At 35.8% G+C, this 25,679-nt stretch overlaps 1 protein-coding gene across 4 annotated transcripts in view; it reads right to left on the bottom strand.

The window, feature by feature from the left end:
* CAND1 (cullin associated and neddylation dissociated 1) overlaps window positions 1-25,679 on the bottom strand; it is a 50,596-nt gene that overhangs the window by 11,745 nt on the left and 13,172 nt on the right. For 3 of the 4 annotated variants that reach the window (NM_001329674.2, NM_001329675.2, NM_018448.5), the window contains 9 exons: window positions 15,433-15,587; window positions 13,053-13,176; window positions 10,546-10,802; window positions 10,356-10,461; window positions 9,114-9,259; window positions 5,594-5,886; window positions 3,463-3,604; window positions 1,612-3,105; window positions 717-812 (listed from right to left, as the gene is read on the bottom strand). In NM_001329674.2, the coding sequence (NP_001316603.1) occupies window positions 717-812; window positions 1,612-3,105; window positions 3,463-3,604; window positions 5,594-5,886; window positions 9,114-9,259; window positions 10,356-10,461; window positions 10,546-10,802; window positions 13,053-13,176; window positions 15,433-15,587 (2,813 nt within the window). Of the gene's footprint in view, window positions 1-716; window positions 813-1,611; window positions 3,106-3,462; window positions 3,605-5,593; window positions 5,887-9,113; window positions 9,260-10,355; window positions 10,462-10,545; window positions 10,803-13,052; window positions 13,177-15,432; window positions 15,588-16,581; window positions 16,692-25,679 lie in introns of all 4 variants that reach the window. The other variant, NM_001329676.2, reaches the window with a different exon arrangement.

The raw sequence follows: 25,679 nt of genomic DNA, 5'->3' as shown, positions 1-25,679 counted from the left end.
TGCCAAATCCCTCAATCCTCCCTGATGGTTATCTCCATTATCCTGTCCTCAAGAAAGCAACAAACTAAATTCTGAGGTGTTTTTGGCTATTATCAAACTCTAGGAAAACCAATGATAAAAACAAAATGCAAGGAGGTTATAAAATCAGAAATAATCCCAAAAGCTAATTCTTGTCTTCACAGAAATAGAGAAGCCCTAGTTTTTCTTGGGTTATCTCCTCTTAGTTCTTCTGGGAATTAGCTCTCCCCCCCTTTATTTTTTATTCTTAGGTTATTTTGACCTTAAATATGGAAATCTCCATAGATCTCCTTGGGTGTTAGAAGTAATAATTGAAATTTGAGGCCTTAATAGCTCAAGCAAGACTCATTTAAATCTAGGGAGAAACTTCAGACTGGCCATATAAATCTAGTATCTTTTTGCTTTATCCACTAAAGCTATCTTAGGTCACCCCAAAAATATGGCTATCAAATATGTAGTTGACTCTAAAGACATGCTGGTATATTATAACTTCATTTATGTGCAAAATCATCTAGGAATAATTACAAACAATACAGGCAAATGCAATTTGTTAAAAGTTGTAAGATCATATCAATTTTCTTTTAAACAATTATTTTATAAGCATTTTAATTCCTCGATATTTCTAGTTACTAAGTTCAAGAGTTTCTTGAGAATTCTAAAGTCCAAAAATCAGTATGTTTATCTTTGTTTCCACTTACCTATGCAGTTCTTTAACAGTGGATCAATAGGTTGTGGATGGTCAGAAATTGTAAATTTCACAGCCGTAACCACTGAGCTTCGGGCATATGATGAGCCTAGTTAAAAATAAATTGCAAGTCTATTGGTATGTAGTCCACTAAAACTCACGGACATCATTTTTAAACCACTCCAAATAACACCAGTGTCTTCAATGCCTTAGAATTCTCCTTGGCCAAGAAGGGTATTTCTTATTGCACACATGAATCCAAAGGAGCAAAATTAACTTACTTATGAGCACAAAATATAATCCCATTAGATTTCAAAGAAACAATTCCTTCTGGGAAGGAGGGACTTGAAGCAGCAGTGGACGATCTCGCCCTCACAAAATAGAACTAGCTAAATCCAAAACCGCTTAAAAATCTTCAAATTTTTTACTAAAACAGAAAGCAATGTCTAAGAATGAATGGCTATTACTGCTATTAATATTACTACCTTTTACTTGTTCTAATGGGGATGACACTGGTAAATCTGAAAACTCTTCCAGAATCTTCCATTTGAAAAAAGTACTGTCACCAATTATACTTATTGTAATTAGTATCAACAAGCTCTTCAGATTATGTTAATTCATTAGATACATCTTTTCCACATTTTAACACAATATAGTAACATTAAAATGTAGTTATCATGAGGAATTAGAACAGATTTAACCATTATCTAATTACCACACTATCCTTTAAAACAACAAAATGTCATTTGAATATCACTCCATACTACGAAAGACAGTTTTTCTTCATCACATACTTAGCTTTTAGGTTTAAGAAAATATAGACATGGCTTAACTTCTTTATTAGGTGTCTTTTAAGGCAACCAACTATCAATAAAAAACTTTTTAAGTAAGAAAATCTAGATACCTACCTGATATCAAGTACCCCTTAAGCCGTGGAAGGAGAGTTTCTGGATCAATTAGAGTGAGTTTTCCTAGACATTCAGCAACAACATTTCTGGTTCCTTCCTCTGCACACTCACAGTGCTTTAGTAATAAGGCCCAGATGTTTTCAACATATGGTTTAAGGCCCACCACTGATGCAGAGCTAATAATTTCCTTCAAGGAATGAAGTAAAAGATACTGCCTTTTGGGTTGACTAGTTATTTCTTGCAGGACAAACGGCAGATATTCAGGAAGGTTGCCCACACTAATGCTGCCTAATGCATAGGATGCAGCTGATTTGACTTCTTCACTAGGAGATGAGAAAGCTTCTAGTATTACAGATTTTAGTTCCAACTGTCCACTTAAGTCAATATGATGCCCAACTTCTCCAAGAGAAAGTAGAGCTAAGAGACGAATGGAATCTGTAGACCTTGAGTTCTTGACATCTTGAATAAACTGACCTACTACAGCTGGTCCCTCTTTAGGGCATGCTCGAGTAAGGGCAGCTACACATTTGGCAATGGAATAATAAGACTGCTTATGAGTAAGAGCTGTGCTCTGAGAGTAAACTGGACCAGTCAGCATGCGCAACAAATCCATGTATCCTAAATTATTTGTTCCAGTGACAACCAGAGCTTGGAAAAAGTCTAGCATGGCACTAAGAGCTCCCCCCTGCAATAAGGGTGATCTCACAAGTCCAATAAGTTCATTGAGAATGGATCCACTTATCTTTGAAAGGGAGGAGGGATATACTTTTGCCAAAGTGGTAAGAAAACTGATGGCCATTTGTGAAACATGCATATCACTTTCGCTGATAAGAGGTGGGAGCTCATCTAGAACTGCATCAATCATGGCAGCTGTCAAGCTGTCACTATAGTTTTTTATTAGAATATCAAGGGCAGAAAGAGTACCCAGTTTCAAAGCTCTCTGGTTTTTTCTAAGAAATGAAGCAAGGATAGGAACCCCTTCTCCCAGAACAGGCCTCAAATCTATCTTCAAAGGTGACCCAGCAATCAGTGTCAATGCCTTTACTGTAGTTAACCTGGTAATTTCATTCTTTAGTCTCTCCAAGAAAATCTGAAGTGTATTAGGCAAGTCAGAACCCAAATTGTCTCCAAGGTTGCAAATAATTTGTCCCATACAGGAAATAGCCCTTTCCTTGACTTCCTGATCAATGTCAGCTGCTTTTAATCTCTTAATGGTACAGGTAAATAGATCTTTGATATAAGGAGTTGCATCAAACGAGGAAGGCTGATCTAAAGGACGAATTACTTTGACAAGCTGTTGAGTAACAAGAAGTGCTTCAGATGTAATTTTGTAAAATGGGTCTCCAACACAAGCCACCACTGGAGGAACCAAAGCCTGAACGTGAGGATGGAAGACTTGAGGAGAATGGTTACAGAGGATTACGTATAGACATGACAAAGCATCGATCTTCAAATTCGATGAGCTTGATTTATCATTCAGTGAGAAAATGATTCCTAAAAAGCCAACAAAAAATCCAATCATTGCTGTGCAGACTTTTAAGAAAGAAAAATTAAAAATCAACCCCTATAGTACTGCTAATGTTCCCACTTCATTATATTATTTCTATAAGTAGAAATTTTCACCATCTACAATAAATATTACAGCCAAATATTTTAGGGTGAGACTTTTAACCTTTTACTTACAAATTTCTAACTTCAGGTATTCAAGATTGTTAGATTAAAAAGTTAGCTCTATGTGCATATTAAGTTGTCACATATATTCCTTTAAAAGGAAACAATTATTTAAGCTTATCTAAGTCCTAACAAAAAGGCTACAATAAGTCCCAAAAGAGATTTATGTTTCTTTCATACCTGGTACAAGTACAGGAATGTGTTGAGTTAGGGCCCCAGGTAATACATTTACCAGCTCAGTTAACATGTTAAAACAACACTGTCGGGTCTTCACACTTTTTTCTTTCATCTGTTTGTGAAGAGCTTTAACAATGTTGGGAACCTGCAATTATCATATAGTCATTAGCTGGTTCAGCTGTTGGTATTTCCTCAGTACACTTAACATGAATTATGGAGAATGAGGATAAAGGGAAGAGTTTATCTTTTTTTGTTAAATTCCTAATTCAGCTATCTATTGCTATTGCTAACACAAGATCAAGTTTGTTGCATGTATTATATATGTTCTCTTGTAACTATATTTGCTTGATACTGATAAGAAATTACAGAAAAGCTATCATTTAGCTTTCCAGAGAGCAACAAAATAGTCTTCCCTACTTAATTTTTAATTGTGAAACATACATGACTAAAAAGAAATTAATAGGCTGGGCACAGTGGCTCACGCCTGTAATCCCAGCACTTTGGGAGGCTGAGGCAGGCAGATCACGAGGTCAAGAAATCGAGACCATTCTGGCCAACATGGTGAAACCCTGTCTCTATTAAAAATACAAAAATTAGCTGGGCGTGGTGGTGCATGCCTGTACTCCCAGCTACTCGGGAGGCTGAGACAGGAGAATCGCTTGAACCCAGGAGGCGGAGGTTGCAGTGAGCCGAGATAGCACCACTGCGCTCCAGCCTGGCAACAGAGCAAGACTCCATCTCAAAAAAAAAAAAAAAAGAGAAAGAAAGAAATTAATCAAATCATATTTTCAATAAAAAATTTAGGAGGTTAATTTATAAATGGTATTTTGAATGACAACAGCACAGATAAAAATCAAAGGAAACAAGACAAATTATGGAAAAGCAACCATCGAACAGGTCCTTTTCTTACTTTCCATTTGCTGTTAGAAGGAATCAACCTCACTTCAAATGTAGCTACAAGCAGCAGGGGTATGATTAAAAGACATCTGCTCTAAACTTCCTAATGTTTTGCTAGTCAGTAAAACAAACAGGGTCTCTACTAACAAATCTTACGGATGCAAAGCTATCAACGGAGCTTCTAGAATACCTCAACAGCAAAGCAAGTACAGAGTAAAAACAAAAAGCCAAGAAAAATCCCAACAACCAAACTACATGGACACATACCCTAATTACACAATGATCTAAGAACTAGACAAAACAAAAAAAATGTCTGACTTTCCATAGCATTGTCAGAATTCCTGGCAACTCTACTGAGCAATACCTGACTTCTATATACTCACTCACTTGCATATGTCCTCCATACACTTTATCTCATTTCCTTCTACAATTAATCTTCAACATTCACCTTTATGAGTAAGTTCACCACAAAAATGTATTTATTTGTACTACTTAAAAACAAGATAGATACAGTATGTGTGTCCCGTCCTCTCCACTGGTTTAATCCCTGGCAATATCTGTTTTGTAATCTATAAAAATTGACCTACTATTTGTGCATCCCATAGGGCTGCTGTAGAGATTACATATAAGATAGGAGAATGCCTGGTATGTAATAAATATTCAATAAATGGGAGCATATAATAGCTCTAATGTTTAGGATCTTAGAAAACAAATGCCCTCAAGTGAAAAAATGTGTATTTTATTAGTAAGTACTGGCATATATCAAGCATATATGTAGTAGGCACTACACTGAATGCTCTACACAGATCACCCAGCTCTCACAACCACAGGTAGATATTTCTAAGTACGTTCTTATTACAAATAAGAAAAGTGAGGTTTAATAAAATGACTAAATAACTTGCCCAAGATCACACACCTAAATTAGAAATGAAGTCAGTTATGTGATCGCAAGTAGTATGACTCCACAGCTCTAAGACTTCTCTATTAACATCAAAGATAAAGACTACTTTACTGAATCTTAAAATTATTTAAATATTGTTTATCATGTAAAGCCAAGAATAATTCAATTAGAATAGTTTACAACTAACATAATATGAACATGCATTAACTATATAAACATATCCTAGAACTTTCTGCTTCTCTATAGATATTCTGGAACTCACCTTTCCATATAAAGACAATTTTAAAAGCATTGCATTTACTATCATGATTTTCTAAACTTTACTTTAAAACCCACCTGACTCTGAAGCATTGTTAAAGGTGTTTCTCCCTGCTCCATTGCATCAGGGTCACATAGCCAACTTTGTACAGGACGAGTTTGCTTCAAAAGAGAAAGGTATGCGTGAAAAACATCTGCCTTTACATTCTCTTCACGCTCTTTAAATCTGGATATTAGTGCAGGAGAGACGGTCTTGTAGAATTCTGGAAGCATTTCATGCCTTGTGCTAACTACAGCATCCAAGCACTTCGCAGCTGCACGTCTCACTTTCCAACTCATGTCATCATCATCACTGTATTCATCATCACTCCCTAAGGGTAAGTTTTAATGTAAACAGGCTATTAATGACAAGAGAAGTATATCATTTAAAACAGAAAATCAATTGATATTCTTAACCAAATCAGTTAATCTAACTTTCCGGTAACATATACAGCAACAGGTAGGTTTCAACAGAACTAGAACTTGAACAAAGAGCTTGTTATTTCTGTAAATCTGCACATAAATTAAACTTAAAAAACAAACATAATGGTATTTTTAATTAGTTAAACATTTTCTCATTTACTTTGTAATGAACTGCTGCTTATTTTAACCCTTTAAAATCATCAATTAACACATTCAACTTCTTTAGAATATAAATATTTATAGTCATAAATTTCCCAGCCTTTGAAACAAAATTCAAAGAACTTACTTAACAGCATAGGAAAAATCAAGCAAACAATCAGGGACTTTATAAGACAAACCATGAAATGGATTTGTGGTAATAGAGTAGGTGATAAAAAGAATGGTTACCAATCCCAAAACACTGTAGAACTAATTTGCTGGGAATAAAAAGAAGGTTGACATCAGCTTTGTGACTACAAGGCTTTTCACTCAACTTGTTGATAAGCTGTGAGGAACAAATATGTATATTCTAAACCTTTCACAATTTTGTCTTAATGTACTTTAACAAAACCATTTTTGCTTAATTATACCAAGAAAATGCTGCACACTTAACAGAGGACCATTTTTTCCCCTAATGCTAAACCTTAAACATTCAAAGCAAAAGCACTAAGAATTGTATCTCACTTATCTATACTTGATGGATAACATGTGTGTGAAATCTCCAGAAAATCTTTCTTTCTAACACCATCAGGTTTAATTAGTTGGGTAATATGAAGTCAGAAAGGTGGCAGAAATATTAGCAGTTATCATGATAGTCTAAAATTATCTCACAATAATTTCTTTATTCTTAGATAAGACTATACATAGCCTTGAAATAATAGAGCGGAGTAGTAACTTTTTACTGGCTTTTATTCCAATTAGCTTAGTTTGACAGTCAAATGTAGCCAGCTAGGCCTTAGAAGATTCTACAGTATACAACAAAATAATAAAATTTTCCAACTCAAAAGCTTAAAATTCACCTTAGCACATTACAGGAAAATACAACCAAATACTGCTAAATGCAAGACGTTTGCTTATTTACCAATATCTATTCAAATAAAGTTAAAAGATACTGCCAAAATACACTATCAAGTTAAGAGCACATAAAATTTTTTCCATGTCAATACACTATGGCAATTGCCTCCCAGAAATATAAGCTTTATTAAAAACAAGATTATAAAAAATTAACAAATGTCCTTATTCACTAAAATTACGTTGATTTTATAAATCACAAAAACACCATGGTAGAAAAGTCATTTAATGGGTATAATTCATACTAAGTGATAAAGCAGGTGAAGTACCTAGTTTGTTATACAGCACACAAAAAAACAAAATTCAAAACCTGGAATATACATTGCTACTGCTTTCTTCAAAAGATATTCATATTAAAATATAAGCTAAAGTTTCCCTTCATTAATACAACCCATTTATTGATTGCCTGTGTGTCAAGTACTGTCCTAGGCACTGGAATAAAGCAGTCAATCAAGAGATTAAAACATCTAGCCTTCATGAAACTTATATTCTAATAGGTAGGAGACCATCAATTACAGTATGTCAGAAAGTTACTAAGTGTGATAAACAAAATAAAAACAATAAAATGAAAGATAGTTCTGAGGTGGAAGACTAGCTGAGGGATGTGTGAAAAAGGAATCAGGTATGACTGCAAGGTTTTTGGCCTGATCAACTAAGAAGAATAGAGGTACCATTCTGAGATGGAAAAGGCTAAAGAAGAACAGGTTAGGTGGGAGATGGGGAAGGGGCAGGGAAAAGATATTTTAGATATCCAAGCAGCAATATTAATTAAGCAGTTGCATATGAATCTGGATTCACAAGTGAGATCTGGATTAAAGATAGGATGTGGGTTGCCAGCATATTGATATTAAAGCCAGGAGACTAGATGAGATCAACAAAAAAATCAACAGTATAACAGGTTAAGTTCAAGGACTGAGCCTTGGGATACTCTAAGTACAGTGGTCAGGGTGAAGAAGAAGAAACAGCATCGAAGACTGGAGTAATCACAACGATAGGACTACATCCAGGCTAGAATGGTATCCCAGAAGCTAAATAAAGAAATGTTGCCGAGACTGAGTAATACGATAGGCAGAGTCAAACATTTGCAATCTCATCCATCACTGGAGGAGTGGATTCAAGAGAGAATGGAAAAAAGAAAATGGAACTGCATTCTTTTAAGGAGCTCTGTTGTGGAGGAGAGAAACTAGGCAGCAGCTGCTAGAGGAGTATATGGTGTTAAGAAACTCTTTTGGTACTTGTTTTTTAAAGATGGGTGAAATTACTGACTTGACAGGAAAGCTGTTATGTAAATTCATTCAAAGAATCAAACTAAAAAGTATTCTCAAAAATAACAAAAAATCCACCAACCTGTTTACCTAGTAATTTACCAACTTAAATATTTGTTATTATGATTCTTCCAATACAAACAGAAACAACTGACATGAGCAACCCCTATGTCCTTGAAGTGCTGCTACTACTTTCCAGAGTAAATATCATAAATCATCGTGTGATTACATCAATCTTAGGAGCCTCAGAAATGTTGTAAGCTATTAATGAATGTTAAATGGGGCCTCGAACAGTATTTAGAATTTTTCATGAACTATGAATAAACAAACTAATATTCTTTCAAGCCAAGCTGCCCTAAATATGTATATCTACAGATTCAATTCTTTCTAAAACCTTGGTTTATCTCCTTACAAAAATGCTTTGTAGAAAATTTGAATAGTACTTAAAACCAAAAATCATACATAGTTCCTAGCCAAGAGAAAACAAGTGGTAATAGTACTAGTTGTAAATATACAGATTTTTTTCTGTATACTTAAAGAAATAAAATTGGGCTATGGTGAGCAATTTTTGCTACATACTTTTCACTCACCTTATTAACAGCATTAATGAATGATTTTTAGACATGATTTTTTAATGTGTTGCATAACAGTTCAATACATGGATGCCCTCTAACTTAATTTGCTGTTGTCAAATATTGAGATCATTTCCCTTTTCACTATTATAACTAAATAAAACAAACAGTACAATTTGGACTAAGAATCATCTCCATCTATAAGTGTCTTTCACAAAAACTCAAAAGATTCTATTTAATTTGCAATACCTTGATCATCATCATCACCACCATCAGCATCCATTGCATTTTCATCTTCATCTTCATCATCGTAATTATAATTTGGATCATAGGTAAGATATTTAAGACAAATATTTATAATGGTAGAAACATGAGGATATACTTCCTTAGGACATCTAAAGACAAAAACAAAAGCTGCCTTGAAGAGCTGCATTTTACTCCTTGATTCATTACCTGCCACATTTTGCTTTATTACCAGCAATAACATAGGACAGTAGTTCCCAGACTATCTAGCACCAATGATTCTTGCTCTTTCTCTCCCATGGACTTACTATTTTAAAAGGTTTACCTTTCAAATTGTACTTATTTAATCAATTTTAAGATGAACTCCCCTAATCCCGATTTTAACTATGTTATGGTTAATGTATGGCAGTATAGACAGAAATCGGTATATAATCAACATGTTATTAGAAAACCAAACCCAGATGAATGTGCTCTTCAGTAACTAGGATTATTTGTGGAAATGCCAGTGCATATTCACCTAGGCTTGGTCTTCTACCGATGTAATGAGAGGACAGAACATATAAATGCCCACAGGGCCAGCAAATAAAAGAATACTTTGTGTTTCTCAACTAAAGGAACAAAAATGAATCTAACAATTTCTGATTTTCAGAATATGGTATGATTAAAAGCCACTTCTCAAAACCAGGAGTGTCAAGGGATAAATGCAGAAAACAACCAGTAAGGTCTCAAGACACCATGCTACTGCATTAGTCAAGAGGAAAAATAATGTTACTTATCTTGTATTGCCTTCTAGTACACAAATACACAACTTTTACTAAGCTTTTAAAAAATATATTAGAATCAGTTTCCAAATTGAGAATCACTGACCTAGCAAAATGGATGTGACCTAAGAAATTGTTGAAAAGGCAATTCACTACTTATTTCTGACGAATAATTTATCCTGCTGGGCTTTCAGTACAGACTACATTATTACACTGGCATTTCTTCCCTTCTAAAGTAAACCCAAAATAATTATAAATACCTTTCCAAAATTCTTTAAATAAAGTCCTAACAATGACAAGGAAAATTTTCAAAATAAATGTGATGACCACATTTTATAATAGCAAGATGACATTAGTTTCAAATACTGTATTGTCTGTTATATCTGAAATCCAAAAGGCCGCTTCTCCTCACACACCTAATGTAGACCTTATGATTCTACTCTTAAGGAAAAACTTTTTGTAAAAAATAGAGATCTTAAAAACTTACCTTCTTACAAATGATTCAAAGGCTTGAATACAGTACTCTCTTAATTCATCATCATCTACATTGCAAAATTTTACCACCAAAGGAATTATCTTCTCAAGGTATTCACCTAAGAAAAGCATAATGGTTCTTTAAAAACATGCATTAATTTTTTTAATTAAAGAAAACTGTAAAACTTTTAAAGATTTCTTACCTATTCTATGACCAGCTTGCCTACTAATAGCAGCAATACATTGTATGTAGGTTCTTGTTGTTGACATAGAATCATTTTTGGACAACTCTGACAACAGATGTTCAATAAGATCTACAAAAACTATATTTCCACAGCTCATAACCAGATGGCCAAGAGCGATAATGGTTCTTTTCCTCACTGCAAGTCTAGGGCTGGTCAACTGGGGAAGTAGACAGGTCAGAATTGAAGGATGGAAATTAACAAGAAGTCCTCCTTGCCTTAAAATAAAATAAAAAAAGAAAGAAAACAACAAATGAATTCAAGATGCCTGGCCACTACTAAATGTCTGGCCTCTGACCTCAATGCAAATATTCAGAACACAAATTTAGTTGAGACTAATTCATAGTGAAAGAAAAATTAAATTATCACTTTATCTACCAATGCAACTGAAACCTGAGCTAAGTGAATGCAGCACTGAAATTTACATTGCCAAACTGACTCCGGGAATCTAGACCTAAATCCCCAATTATAGGATATCTAATTGATTGGCTTGGGAAAATATTAAAAAACAAAAACAAAAACCACAAGTCTGGGTGTGAAGGCTCACACCTGTAATCCCGGCACTTTGGGAGGCTGAGGCAGGCAGATCACTTGACCCCAGGAGTTCGAGACCAGCCTGGGCAACATGGCAAAACCTCATCTCTACAAAAAACACAAAAATTAGCTGCGTGTGGTGGTGCATGCCTGTAGTCCCAGCTGCTCAGGAGGCTGAAGTGGGAGGATCACCTGAGCCTGGTAAATTGAGGCTGCAATGAGCCATGATCATGCCAATGCACTCCAGCCTGGGCCAAAACCTGTCTCAAAACCAAAACCAAACACAAACAACAACAACCAAAACTACACAATCATCTTGTCACTTTCTCCTTCCAAAATCTCTAAATGATTTTCTGTGCCAGGAATGGTGGCTCATGCCTATAATCCCAGCACTTTGGGAGGCTCAGGCGGGTGGATAACTTGAGGTTAGGCGTTCGAGACCACCCTGGCCAACATGGTAAAACCCTGCCTCTACTAAAAATACAAAAATTAGCCAGTGGAGGTGGTGGGCACCTGTAATCCCAGCTACTCAGGAAGCTGAGGCACGAGAATCACTTGAACCCAGGAGGCGGAGGCTGCAGTAAGCTGAGATCACAGAACTGCACTCCAGCCTGGGTGACAGAGTGAGACTCCATCTCAAGAAAGAAAAAAAAAAAGAAATCTAAATGATTTTCTGTATTCTGACTTTCTGTATTGCTTTTTTAGGGGGGGATTCACAACACTAAAAAACTGACCTTCTCTTGAGTTCTCCCTCTCCCTTATTGGCTTTCCTCTATATATAGTTTCATTGTTCCTGTTGTTCCAACACCCCTCTTCCAAATCATCTCAAATGTATAGTTCAATGAGTCACTACTACCCAAACCTGTGCCAGGACAATCAGTGTTCGTGATTAAATCATGCACAGGACAAAAAGTCTGAATTTTCAGTTTATCAAATTAAACATAAATTCCTCATCCACCTCAACATGACCCCAATCTATCAGAATGATTTCCTACTGCTTTTCTATTCATTCTCTATTCTAGAAAACTAGAATATGCTTCCCCATTCGCATACTACTTATGTATTCTACACCTGGGCACATCTAACTATTGAAGGGCTACCCATTCTTCAAAACCCAATTCAAATGCCACTTTCCATAAAAACAATTTTCTTGAATCCTTCCATTTTAAAACCCAAAACACACTATGCTCCCAGTTAGTCTTTAGTCCCATTCTGCCCTGTAGCCATCGGTGTTCTTATGTCCTATCGTAAAGTATAAGCTCTTTCAGTGCCAGGATGATAGCTCCTCACTTTATACACACACACCCACACACCCACCTGAAGGCACTTGATTGTTTTTAAGTTGACATGAATTTGCCACAAAAAACACACACAAATAATGGTGGCCTATAATGAATATGAGAATCAGAAATTGACAGGTCCTTTAAGGTATTTTCTCCTAGGAGTTGCTTAGGTCTGTCTATGTTCTAACATCTGACTTCCAAAGGAAAGTGAAAAAGCAACAAATACATAAAAGCCAAGGTCCTCCCTCCCCTAAAATATGCACTATTAATATGGTTACCGAAGATTACCAGCATTCTTTTAACCGGAAAATCCGTAACTACCAGCACATCTCCTTATCTAAATACACCACTGAATGCAAGAATATATGAGTAAAACAAAACATGAACCGTGCTAAAAAAAATTTAAAATCACAAATTTTATTAATTACTTTAAAGAACTACAAAATGTTTACTATACAATATTATATACTTATATGTTAGTGTAATTAGCTTATTTCCCCCTCACTCCCAATCACACAAATTGATAAAACAGCCACCATTTAAATATGAATAATTTCTGACCAAGTTTTATTATATTTACTAGAAAGGGTTTTTAGTAAATTAATGTAGTTATCTGTATTACGAGTAACGGAAATAAACAGGCACACTTACCTGCTCAACATATCAGCCATAATATCCAAGGCTTCTAGCTGAACAGAGACATCTTCCTGTTTTGCTATTGCACTTGTAAGACGTCCAGTAATCTTTTTACATACATTAGCAGCTAATGCAGAGCCTGCATGAATAAGAAGCCAATAATAATTTCAAGGCAAGCATGTTGAATTCCCTCTTATATTCATGGTAGTTACCAAATATTTAACAACTCCACACTTGATCATGAGACACAACAGATCCAGGGCAGAAAAACACATCTTTCAAAACAGGCTGCTTTTCAATAAAATGACTTATAGAAATAAACAAGAATTAGACCAAATATTTAACAACTCCACACCTGATCATGAGACACAGGAGATCTGTGGGAGAAAAACACATCTTTCAAAACAGGCTGCTTTTCAATAAAATAACTTACTGGACATAAACAAGAATTAGAGATGACAACTTCAGAAGGGGTAAAGGACACAGAAAACAATACAGATGTCAGCAGATTCTTTCTACTGGATAATAGTAGATATTATAGATAACTAGTAATAGTAGATAGATAACTATGCTATCTACTGGATAATCTGTATGCATTGGTATGAATGCTAGCTATGGAGCCAGTAGTAGCTGTAGAGCTTGCACACCTAGATTGAAAAGCAGCAAGGAGAGTTTTCTCTATTTGAGTCTTTTCTAGTAGACTAGCCTTTTAAACTTCAGTGAATTAAAAAGCATATATTCTGAGCTCCAATGCTTAGCAGCTTCTTTAAAAAAAAAAATCAGCCATAACTTTTAATAAGGTCCTTTCCAACCCAAAGATTCCGTAACTTCATTATAAAGCAGAAACCTCGTTCCAGGACTCATAAATCAGAATTGTTACTACTTACAGTAGGTCATGTTGTTACTGATGAGAGAAGAAAAAGAACAAGTCACTGTGAAAGTAAGAATCTGAATGGTTAAAAAAATTCTTGTAAGAACCGGAAATTGGCTCAATGCAAACACATTTCAATGAGAGAAAAAAAATTAAAAAATATATACATAGCTAATACAATTATAAATAACATACTTCTGAGTTGGTGAAATGTTTTATTGAAATAAGTAACTATTTAATAAAGGTAAAATAACACTGGTATGATACATTGAAGAAAGCATCCTTTTTCGATTAAAAGAAAATGGATTTGAATCTTTACCCAATTACTCACCCAACTTTGGGTGAATTAACCTAATCTCTCTGAATTTCAGTTCTCCCATCTACAAACTAGAAGGAACAGTAAGACCTCCCATATGATTGATGTTTAGACTAGTTTACGTATGCAGCCTTTAGCATGAAAACTAGCACAGTGAATGATTCAAGTACATGAGTGGAAATAACATACCCAGACTACATTATTTATTTTTTTGTTTTTTTATTTTTTTTTGACACGGAGTTTCACTCTTGTTCCCTAGGCTGGAATGCAATGGCACCATCTCGGCTCACCACAACCTCCGCCTCCTGAGTTAAAGTGATTCTCCTGCCTCAGCCTCCCAAGTAGCTGGGATTACAGGCATGCACCACCACGCCCGGCTAATTTTGTATTTTTAGTAGAGATGGGGTTTCTCCATGTTGGTCAGGCTGGTCTTGAACTCCCGACCTCAGGTGATCCACCTGCCTTGGCCTCCCAAAGTGCTGGGATTATAGGCGTGAGCCACCTCGCCCGGCCCCCAGACTACATTATTACCAATCTAAATCTTCCCATGAAATAGGTGATAATCTCACCTTTTGCAGATGAGACAAAAACTTTTAGCCTAATAATTTTAGCAATAGTTTAGTAGTCAAGACCAATTCTAAAATTTATATTACCTACACATTTCTATCAAAGGCCAAAAGCTAATTAGTTAACAAATACATTAATCATAGTTTTAAATTTGTTTAATTACCAAGTAGCTGTAAAAGGCTCAGCTTTAATTAAAGCTACTAGTAAACTGAACTATTCCACAGCTATGTCTGAATGGTGTTACATTTTACATAGCAAATACTGACGCAAAGTAAAATTAATACTGGAAACAGTGAACTAATCAGGATGCAATATTTTGGTTATCTCTTCCCTCACTGCATAGGTTGGCATAACTCTAGTCTGCAGTCATGGTACACACAGTATAAAATCTTGCTCCAACATATAAAAATCCTTCACTGAAATTCATATTACATACAAGTTCAATCAAAATATTCATTTAACATTTATTTCTAAGGAAAATAAGGCTTCACGCTTTAATTTTCTTAATTGTCCAAAGGGATTCCTATGAACATCTGTAAGGACAGCCACCTCCCTCCCTCCTTGGCCAGAAGGGGAAAAAAGGGTGGGGAGAAATACCTCCACACAAAAAGAAATAGGAAGAAAAATGTGCTCTTGCTTACCACTGGAAGCTGGAGGAAGTTCTCCAATTACTGTTTTAAGACCAATACTTGAAATGTCTCGAAGTTGTTCTTTATCAGAAAGCATGTTAGTGCAGAGGGTATCTACAATTGTCTCTACTTGGTATTCTTTCACTTTACTCACTAAAGGACCAAGACTGTAATACAAAGAAGAAATTGTTTAAAAAAAGCTAGATAAGCACAAAAACAGGAAAATACATAAGTAGAAATGTTAACCTTTCCGCCTAGAACTTTCAAGATAAAGTATATACCATGTCTGTATCATAAATAGTATACAAATGACATAAAAAATTGTGATTGGTTAAGATTTTTGCAGTTGGTTTCCAAGTTTTTCTCATTGATTTCCATCCTAGTATCATGAAACTGAAGCTGCTTTCCGTATCATACCCCACGTCATACCCCTAAAGCTAATTAGTTGACAAATATACAGAAAACTTATTTTTTATTTTTTTGAGAGACAGGGTCTCACTGTTGTTCACACTGGCCTTGAACTCCTGGGCTCAAGCAATCCTCCCACTTCAGCCTCCTGAGTAACTAGGACTACAAGGGCACAACACCATGGCTGGCACAAAACTTTTTAATAATAAGGTAAGGCCGGATGCAGTGGCTCATACCTGTAATCCCAGCACTTCGGGAGGACCAGGCGGGTGGATCACTTGAGGCCAGGAGTTCGAGACCAGCCTGGCCAACATGGTGAAACCCCGTGCCTACTAAAAATACAAAAAAAAATTAGCTGGGCATTGCTGGTATGTGCCCGTAGTCCCAACTACTTGGGAAGCTGCACAAGAATTGCTTAAACCCAGGAGGCGGAGGTTGCAGTGAGCCGAGATTGTACCACTGCACTCTAGCCTGGGCCAGAGGAGACTCTGTCTCAATTAATCAATCAATCAATAGGCGAATTAGGAGTCTGCTCCTAACAAGAAGTTTTTTCTACAATGGAAGTTCCATCCAACATATAGATTTAGCATCCCTCATCTAAAAATTCAAAACCCTTTGAGTGCCATGGTGGAAAATTCCACACCTGACCTCATGTGCTGGTCAGTCAAAGCTTTGTTTCGTGCAGAGAATTATTATTTTTTTCCCTTCCTATCTTCAATGTACAGAATTACTAAAAATATCATATAAAATTACCTTCGGGCTATGTGTATAAGAGATATATATGAAACATAAATTAATTTCATGTTTAGACTTGGGTTCCATCCCCAAGTTATCTCATTTTGTATATGCAAATATTCCAAAATCTGGAAAAATACAAAATATGAAACACTCTGGTCACAAGCATTTCAGATAAAGGACACTAAACCTGCATCACTTTGCCAACTTTGACCCTTTCTTTCTATTACCAAACACCACCTCATGAACCAAAAGAATTTCCACTGCCCTTGAATTTCCTTGAGGAGATTTATAAAACAATGTGCCTTTTATATACTTGTCTAAATGTTAAAAGCATAAAGTAACTGGTTGTAAAGATGAAAACAAGTCAATACTACACTACCCTGTGCTCCCAAAGCACCTTGCATATACTTTTCTCATTACTATTATGGATGTTGTTACAAGTTTGCATTATGTCCACCAATTGAACCATTTCTTGAGGATGGAGGAAAGTCCTTCCTTTGTGTTCTTCCCATAGATTTTAGTAGGTAAGTTTGGTACATGAATCTCATTAAGACAGCAGTTCCCAACCATTTTGGCAGCAGGGACCGATTTCATGGAAGACAATTTTTCCACAGATTTGCAGGGGAGGCAGTTTCAGGACAAACTGTTCGACCTCAGATCATCAGGCACTAGATTCTCATAAGGAGCATGCAACCTAGATGCCTTGCACACACAGTTTACAATAGGGTTCGTGCTCCTATGAGAATCGAATGCCACCGCTGATCTGACAGGAGGCAAAGCTCAGGCAGTAATGCTGGCTCGCCCTCTGCTCTCCTCCTGCTGTACAGCCCAGTTCCCAACAGGCCAAGGATCTGTATGGGTCCATGGCCCAGGGTTTAAGGACCCCTATATTAAGAAGTCACTGTATTCAAAATTATTGAATAACAAAGACAGTATGGCCCCTATCTTCAAAAACTTAACCATCTGGTTGATGAACTAAGGAACTCCATAACTATTTATGAAATGAAGGCATTCACTACTCTGGCATGATTAAAAACAAATTTAAAAAAACTTTTAAATGCAATGTCAGCATTTACAGGGTAAGAGACTGAACATTAACAGTCAGATTTTTAGGTATTAAGTTTTTTTTTTTTGAGACACTGTCTTGCTTTGTCGCCAGGCTGGAGTGCAGTGGTGTGATGTTGGCTCACTGTAACCTTAGCCTCCGAGGTTCAAGTGATTCTCATGCCTCAGCCTCCCAAGTAGCTGGGACTACAAGTATATACCAACATGTCCCATTACTTTTTGTATTTTTAGTAGAGACGGGGTTTCACCATGTTGACTAGGCTGGTCTCGAACTCCTGACCTCAAGTGATCCACCCGCCTTGGCCTTCCAAAGTGCTGGGATTACAGGCATAAGCCACCACGCCAGGCTGGTACTGAGCTTTCATGAGATAGTGAGAAAAGAAAAGCATTTCAAATGAGGAAACAAGTTCTTGTAAAGAACAGAGACTAAAACAAGTAGAATGCATATTGAAACAAATTAGGAGTAAAAAGAACTGCTTTATACAAAAGGCAGATGGAAAACACCATAGGAAAAATAACCACCTATGATATTACAGAGAACTCTTAATGTCTGGTCAATGACTTGAAATGTGATAAAACTGGCAGCCAATGCATTTTTTCAAGCATAAGTAACATCATGAAAATTTAATTTGATAAATGCTCAGATCAGTGTCTCAAATAGATGCTCAACTGATGACTGCTGACTGCTTGACCAAAGAAGTAGTAGGCAGGTCAATTTGGTGATTTAAAAGAAAAGATAAAAATAAAAAAAACTGAAAGGTTAAATATAGCCTAATCCAAAATGAAGACAGTGATAACTGAAACATGGCAGATACATGGAGAGACCGAATATAAAATAATAAAAATTGGGAGTGAAGTTAAAAGGAACTCAAAAAATGAATTTAAAGAGTTCTAGCTTTCAGCAGAATAGTGGCGAGTCACGATTGTAATCCGAGCACTCTGGGAGACTGAGGCGAGTGGGCTCCTTGAGCTTGCCCAGCCTGGGCAACATGGTGAAACCCTGTCTCTAACAAAAATACTAAAATTAGCTGGGTGTGGTGGCATGCACCTGTGGTCCCAGCTACTCAGGAGGCTGAGGTGAGGATCACTGGAGCCCAGGAAGTCAAGGCTGCAGTGAGCCATGATCACACCACTGCACCCTCACCTGGGTGACAGGTTGAGACCCTGCCTTAAAAAAAGAGAATGTTATTATTAATTAGCTGGACATGGTACATGCCTGTAATCCCAGCTACTCTGGAGGCTGGGGCAGGAGAATCACTTGAACCTGGGAGGCGCAGGTTGTGGTTAGCTGAGATGGCGCCACCACACTCTAGCCTAGGCAACAAGAGCAAAACTCCATCTCAAACAAATAAAATAAAAATAATAAAAAATTTAAATGCTGTATTTAAAAAACTAAAAATAAAAAATAAAGGGCAGAAATTATAAAACTGAATAAAAGAAAAAACAAGACTTAACTACCTGCTATCTACAACAAACAATTTTAAAATAAAAACAGACAAAACAAGAAATAAAGAAGATACATATGCACATACACCAATCTTGAAATAAACGGGAGTGGCTATATTACTAACATCAGAGAAAATATATTTCAAGGTAAGGTGTATTACCAGAGATAAAGAGAAATGTCTTATATTCATAAAAGGGTCATACATCAAGAAGACACCACTATTATAAATGTTTATGTACCTAGTCATTGACAAAGACTCTCTGACCAAACTTCACTAAGCCACGTCTCAGCCCTCTTCTCAACAAGCAGTTCTTGACCCTGGGCCCCTGTCCTTGCCAGGCCTACATAGCCCAACTGTAGTGAGAATCTCACCAACCCTGATGTTTGCTCTTGTGTAATGTTCCATCTCTGACTGACTCTTTCCACTCTTTGGCTAGAAATTTCCACTTGTCATAGTATTTGAAGTTGAGACCAATCTCTTTCGCCTATTGCAATAGTCTTTACACCTATCACAATAGTCCTGATTAAAGTATTTCTTACTGTTTAAACAAATATCAGAACAATTTTGTCTTTAACATTATACAGCTTTAAAATGCAAGAAAAAGAAACTGACTTTACTATAGGGAAAAGTAATACATAGTTGAAAGTTTTAACATCCTTCTCAACAGTCAACAGATCAACTAAACAAAAAATCAGAAAGGACGGCCAGGCATGGTGGCTTATGTTTAAAATACCAGCTCTTGGGGAGGCGGAGGTGGGTGGATTACTTGAGGTCAGGAGTTCGAGACCAGCCTGGCCAACATGGTGAAACCCTGTCTCTACAAAAATACAAAAATTAGCCAAGTGAGATGGTGTGCGCCTGTAACCACAGTTACTTGGGAGGCAGTCTGAGAATCGCTTGAATCTGGGAGGTGGAGGTTGCAGTGAGCACAGATCACACCACTGCACTCCAGCCTGGGTGACAGACTGGAGTCTAAAAAAAAAAAAAAAAAAATTCAGAAAAGATATAAATCTGAACACTATCAAATACCTTGACCTGACACTTATAAAACACTTTACCCAACAACTGCAGAATATACTTTCAAGTATATATAAAATATTTGCCAAGACCTACCATGTGGTACACCACAAAACAAATCTCAGTAAATGTTAAAAGAAGGTGCCCTGACCACAGTAGAATTCAATTATAAACCAGTAAAAAAATAGATAACCTCCAAATATTTGGAAACTGCTTCTAAATAACCAATGGACTAAAAAAAAAAAAAAAAAAAAATCACATCAAAAATTAAAAATATTTCAAACTGAATAATGAATATACCCAAATTTGTAGGATGTAGCTAAAGACATACTTAGAGGAAAATATATACCTTTATATGTTTAAATTAGAAAGAAACCCATTAGGAAAGCAATAATCACAGAAAAAATCAATGAAACAGACAACAGACAAAATTAATAAACCGACAAGTCAGGTCTTTGATTCAGATTCGTAAAGCTGGTAAGTTCCTGATTCAATTAATTAATGATTAAAAAAAAAGGAACACAAATCACCAAAATTAGGATTGAAAGAAAGGGATATTCACTGATGACGATTGTTTAGGTAGAAAATCCTGAGGACTCAGCAAAAACGACTTTAACAAGTATGAGATACTATGGTTCATGGTTGAAAGACTAAGTATTGTTAATACACAAATTCTTCTCAAATACTCCTAAAGCTTCGACAGACACAATTTTAATCAAAATTCAAGCAAGCTTATTTTTAAGAATAAAAGCTGACAACTCTAAAACTTACATGGAAATATAAAGGACCTAAAAAACTAAACTACTCTTGAGAAAGGAAGAATGAAGCTAGAGAACTTAAATTACCTTTTACTTCACACTTATCTACACCCATGTTTCTCAACAGGGCAATTTTTGCTCTCCAAGAGACATTTCTGATTGTTACAATTGGGAGAGGTGGGAATGCTATTGGCCAGGGATGCTGCTAAATACTCTACAATACACAGAATACACAGCTCCCAACAACAAAAAGAATTATCTGGCCCAAAGAGTAAGTAATGCCAAAGCTGATAAACCCTGAGTTACAATGAATGCAACTGTTGTACTGGTATAAGTATAGACAAATAAACGAATGGAACAAAACAGCATCTAAAAACAGACCCACACTTTTATAGTCAATTGATTTTTTGACGAAGATGCCAAAGTAATTCAGAAGGGAAGGAAGGTCTTTTCAATAAACAGTGCTGCATCAACTGGATATCCATTTGGAGAAAAAAAGAAAAAGTTAATTCCTACCTCACATCCTTTGCAAAAATAAATTCAAGATAGATCACAGAACTAAAAGTAAAGCTAAAATCAGAAATCTTATTTGGAGAAAACCTTTACAACCTAAGGTAAACAAAGATTTCTTAGGACACAGAAAACAATAACCATAAAAGAAAATTTTTAATTAACTTATAAATTAAATCAAACTAAAGTAAATTCAAAACCAAAATTAAAAACTTAAGCTCATCAAATTCAGAGAAGAACTAGAACTTGATAATAAAAAGTCCATGCACAAAAAAAAAAAAATGGCCAAAAAACACAGGAAACAGTTCTTGACATCATTAGTTATCAGGGAAATAGAAATTAAAACCACACTTACACACCTACTGAAGTGGCTAAAATTAAAAACTGACACAACCAAATGGCTGGTGAGAATGTGGAGCAACTGGTACTTTCACATAAAGTGGTAGATAGACTTTGGGAAACAATTTGGCGTTTTCATAAAAAGCTAAGTGAACAAGAGCAGTTTCACTCTTGGGTATCAGTGAAAAATAAAGACGGCAGGGCGCGGTGGCTCAAGCCTGTAATCCCAGCACTTTGGGAAGCCGAGGTGGGCGGATCATGAGGTCAGGAGATCGCGACCATCCTGGCTAACATGGTGAAACCCCGTCTCTATTTAAAAAATACAAAAAAATTAGTTGGGCGTGGTGGCGGGTGCCTGTAGTCCCAGCTAGTCAGGAGGCTCAGGCAGGAGAATGGAGTGAACCCGGGAGGCAGAGCTTGCAGTGAGCAGAGATCCAGCCACTGCACTCCAGCCAGGGCGACTGAGCGAGAATCTGTCTCAAAAAAACAATAATAATAAATAAAATAAAACAAAGACACATGTCCTAAAAGGGACTTGTACACGAAACGTTCACTGTATATTTATTCACAGTAGTCAAATCCATGAAAGAAACCAAATGAATAAACAAACCATCAATGGACTACTAATCATTAATAAAAAGGCATGAACTACTAATATACACAACATGGATGAACTTGTGGTGTTATGAGAGCAAAAATAGCCAGACACAGGAACACATACTACGTAATTCCATTTATATGAGTTTTGTAACAGGCAAAACTAATTTATGGTAAATAAAACGTGAATAATAGTGACCTTGATTGGAGATGTTGTATGATAAAATTATACAATTTTATCAAACGATTATCCAGTCATTTGAAAAAGGTCCATCTTTTTCTCAGTGATGCCACCTTCATAACATACTTTACATTCTATTTTACCTCACTGGTCTATGAATGCCCCACTACCTCACTGCTTTGATTATAGAGACATAATATTTATAGGGCTAACCAACACCTCTCTACCTTCAGCAATTGTTCTACCTGTTCAGAGTTTTCTTAACTATCTTCAGCACATGCTCACTCTCAACCCTAATATACTTTAGTCAATTTGTCTAGTTTCTGGAAAAAAACTTAATATTTTTATAATTAGTTTAGCATAAAAGTAACCTGAAGAGAACCAAAAACTTTATGATGTGGAGTTATCCCATCCAAGGACATGAAATATCTCTCTGCTTGTTCAAGTACATTTTTGTATCTTCAAGTATTTTAAAATTTTTCTCCCATAAATTTGGAACAACAGAAAACTGTAATCTTACCTTACACTACACAACACTGCAATACAAGGTCACCACTGTAACATTTCTTGTTACATTTACTCCTATGTTGTCTTTCTGTTGCTATAATAAATGGGTGTTCCTTTCTATTGTATCTTCTGATTGCCCACATGAAAAGCTACTTATCAAAAGCTTATATGAAAAGCTACTAACTTTGTAAATTTTACATCCTACCTCACTGAATTTTTTGTAAATTCAATTTTTCTTAATTGACTTGTTTCTCCCACATAAACTTTTCAATTCTTATGCCTCTAACTTTCTTCCTACCCCTCTGTCTTAAAGTGGTTAATACCCTCAAAAGAAACAGCAGAGAGATACACATATTTGCCTTGTCCCTGACTTTAGGGTGAATGTATCTGGTATTTTATAACTTTTGGGCTGAAGTAAGTGTGTGTATGTGTGTGTGTCGGGGGCGGGGGCTGAAGTGTGTGTGTGTGTATGTGTGCATGGGCTGAAGAAAGTTTGTGTGTGTGTGTGTGTGTGTACATGCATGTGTACTCTTTTAAGGACCTATCAATTCCTATGTTGTTACATGTTTTACCTGGAACAGATGATGAATTCTGTCAAGTGGGATAATACATCTTCAACCTGTTCTTCACTCTAATGACAAATCAAGTATGATGCTGGTTTTTGGAAGTTCTTCACCTCCCTAATTATACTAAGTAAACTAAGTGCTTTTGTTCGTTTTGTTTTAATCAAGATTCAATGTTGACTCTTATCAGTGTCTTGACAACTAACCAGATAGTTTTTTCTCCTTTGATCTACTAACATAATAACTGTATTAATAAAGCATATAATACTGAACTGCCCCCTTAAAATCTTAGTCACAGTATGTTACTAATAATACACTGCTATATTTTATTTTGAACATTTAAATGAAGCTAATCTATAGTTTTCTTTCTTTTTTTTTTAAGTATTATCATTAGTCAGGATCTGTTATCAGTATTTAATTTAAATAAAAGTCTGGAAGGTTTTCATACTTACCCTATGTTCTAGAACAGTACTACAACTCTCTGTACTGGAATTATCTGTTCTTTGAGGTTTTAAAGACGTGTGAAATATTTCTGGATCTTTCTTTTGGGTGATGAATTCTTTGTTCAATTTTTCCAAAAATGGAAAGTTTTTGTTCAATTTTTCCAATTTTTTGATATGGCTGCTTAATAATTGATATGGCTGCTTAATAATCTATTGGGATTTTCCAACCTCCAAGACCCAGCTCTTAGATTATTTACTATCATTTTATCTCCTACTCTATTTATTTATATCCTAATTCCTTTATTTTCTTGAATATATGTTATTTCTCCCCAACTCCTCTAACTATAAATATAAAATATCAACAAAAGGTCAAGAAACTCAGGTTCCTAATGAGTAAAGATACATACTAAAGTGACTAAGAAGTACGTACCTCCCAACTCTCAATATGGGACAAAGATTACTTTTTTAAAGACTTATTTTTTTAAAAGGTTGAGAAACATTCAGGATATATTTTGAACAAAGTTTAATTTTGTTTATTAGGCACATGGCAAAAAGATATTAAAAGATAAAGAATTAAACTAAAATTACTGACTGATCTGTATCATTCTATAACACCTTTTTTTTTTTTTTTTGAGACACAGTCTTGCTCTGTCGTCCAGGCTGGCATGCAGTGGCACGATCTTGGCTCCCTGCAACCTCCGCCTTCCAGGTTCAAGCGATTCTGCTGCCTCAGCCTCCCAAGTAGCAGGGATTACAGGCATGCACCACCATGCCTGGCTAATTTTTGTATTTTAGTAGAGACAGGGTTTCTACATGTTGCCCATGCTGGTCTCCAACTCCTGACCTCAGGTGATCCACCTGCCTCGGCCTCCCAAAGTGCTAGGATTACAGGTGTGAACCACCACTCCCATACAACACCATTTTTTGAAAGACCCATTTTATTTTAAACTTGCAAATGTCCCAAGTTAAAGAAATTTGTATTGCATGTCTGGAAATTCTATGCTGACAAATTAGTTCTCATATTTTTATTTACTTTTACAAGGGATATGTAAAAGTTTAGGCTAAAACAAATTTAAAATCCTTTAAAAAGAAGTAACAATGGGATAATGCTTTATTTAAATTGATATCAAATATAATGATGTACAAAAAGACATAATTCCATAATTTTTATGAGGCTAAAGGTTATACTAATAACTATGTAAATTAAGGGTTTCTAAAAGTTGACATTCATAAACTAAATCAGTATGTTAATGGAATTTATTGAGAACTCAAATTCTTTACCCTACTAAAAATAAGAAACCAAACTGCCAACATCATGCATAGCAAGAAGCTCCCACTGCAATGTATACACAAAGACAATCAGAATCTCCATAATTCTTAGAAAAGACTCTCTGTAACTATCGTATCATATGTATATTGTATCAACTGATGATATATATATTGTATCATCAGTGTTGTTTTGAGTTAACTATGGTTTAACTGCTGCTATTCTTTATTAAGAATTTTATTATTAGTAGTTTTTTGGCTGGGCATGGTGGCTCATGCCTATAATCCCAGCACTTTGGGAGGCCAAGGTGGGAGGATCACTTGAGCCCAGGAGTTAGAGACCAGCCTGGGCCACAGAGTGAGACCTTGTCTCTACAAGAAAATTTTAAAAAATGAGGCAGGAGGATTTTAGTCCAGGA

Source organism: Homo sapiens, chromosome 12 (genome assembly GCF_000001405.40).
Source record: "Homo sapiens chromosome 12, GRCh38.p14 Primary Assembly".
Lineage (NCBI taxonomy): Eukaryota > Metazoa > Chordata > Mammalia > Primates > Hominidae > Homo > Homo sapiens.
This window is presented reverse-complemented; position numbering and strand designations above follow the sequence as displayed.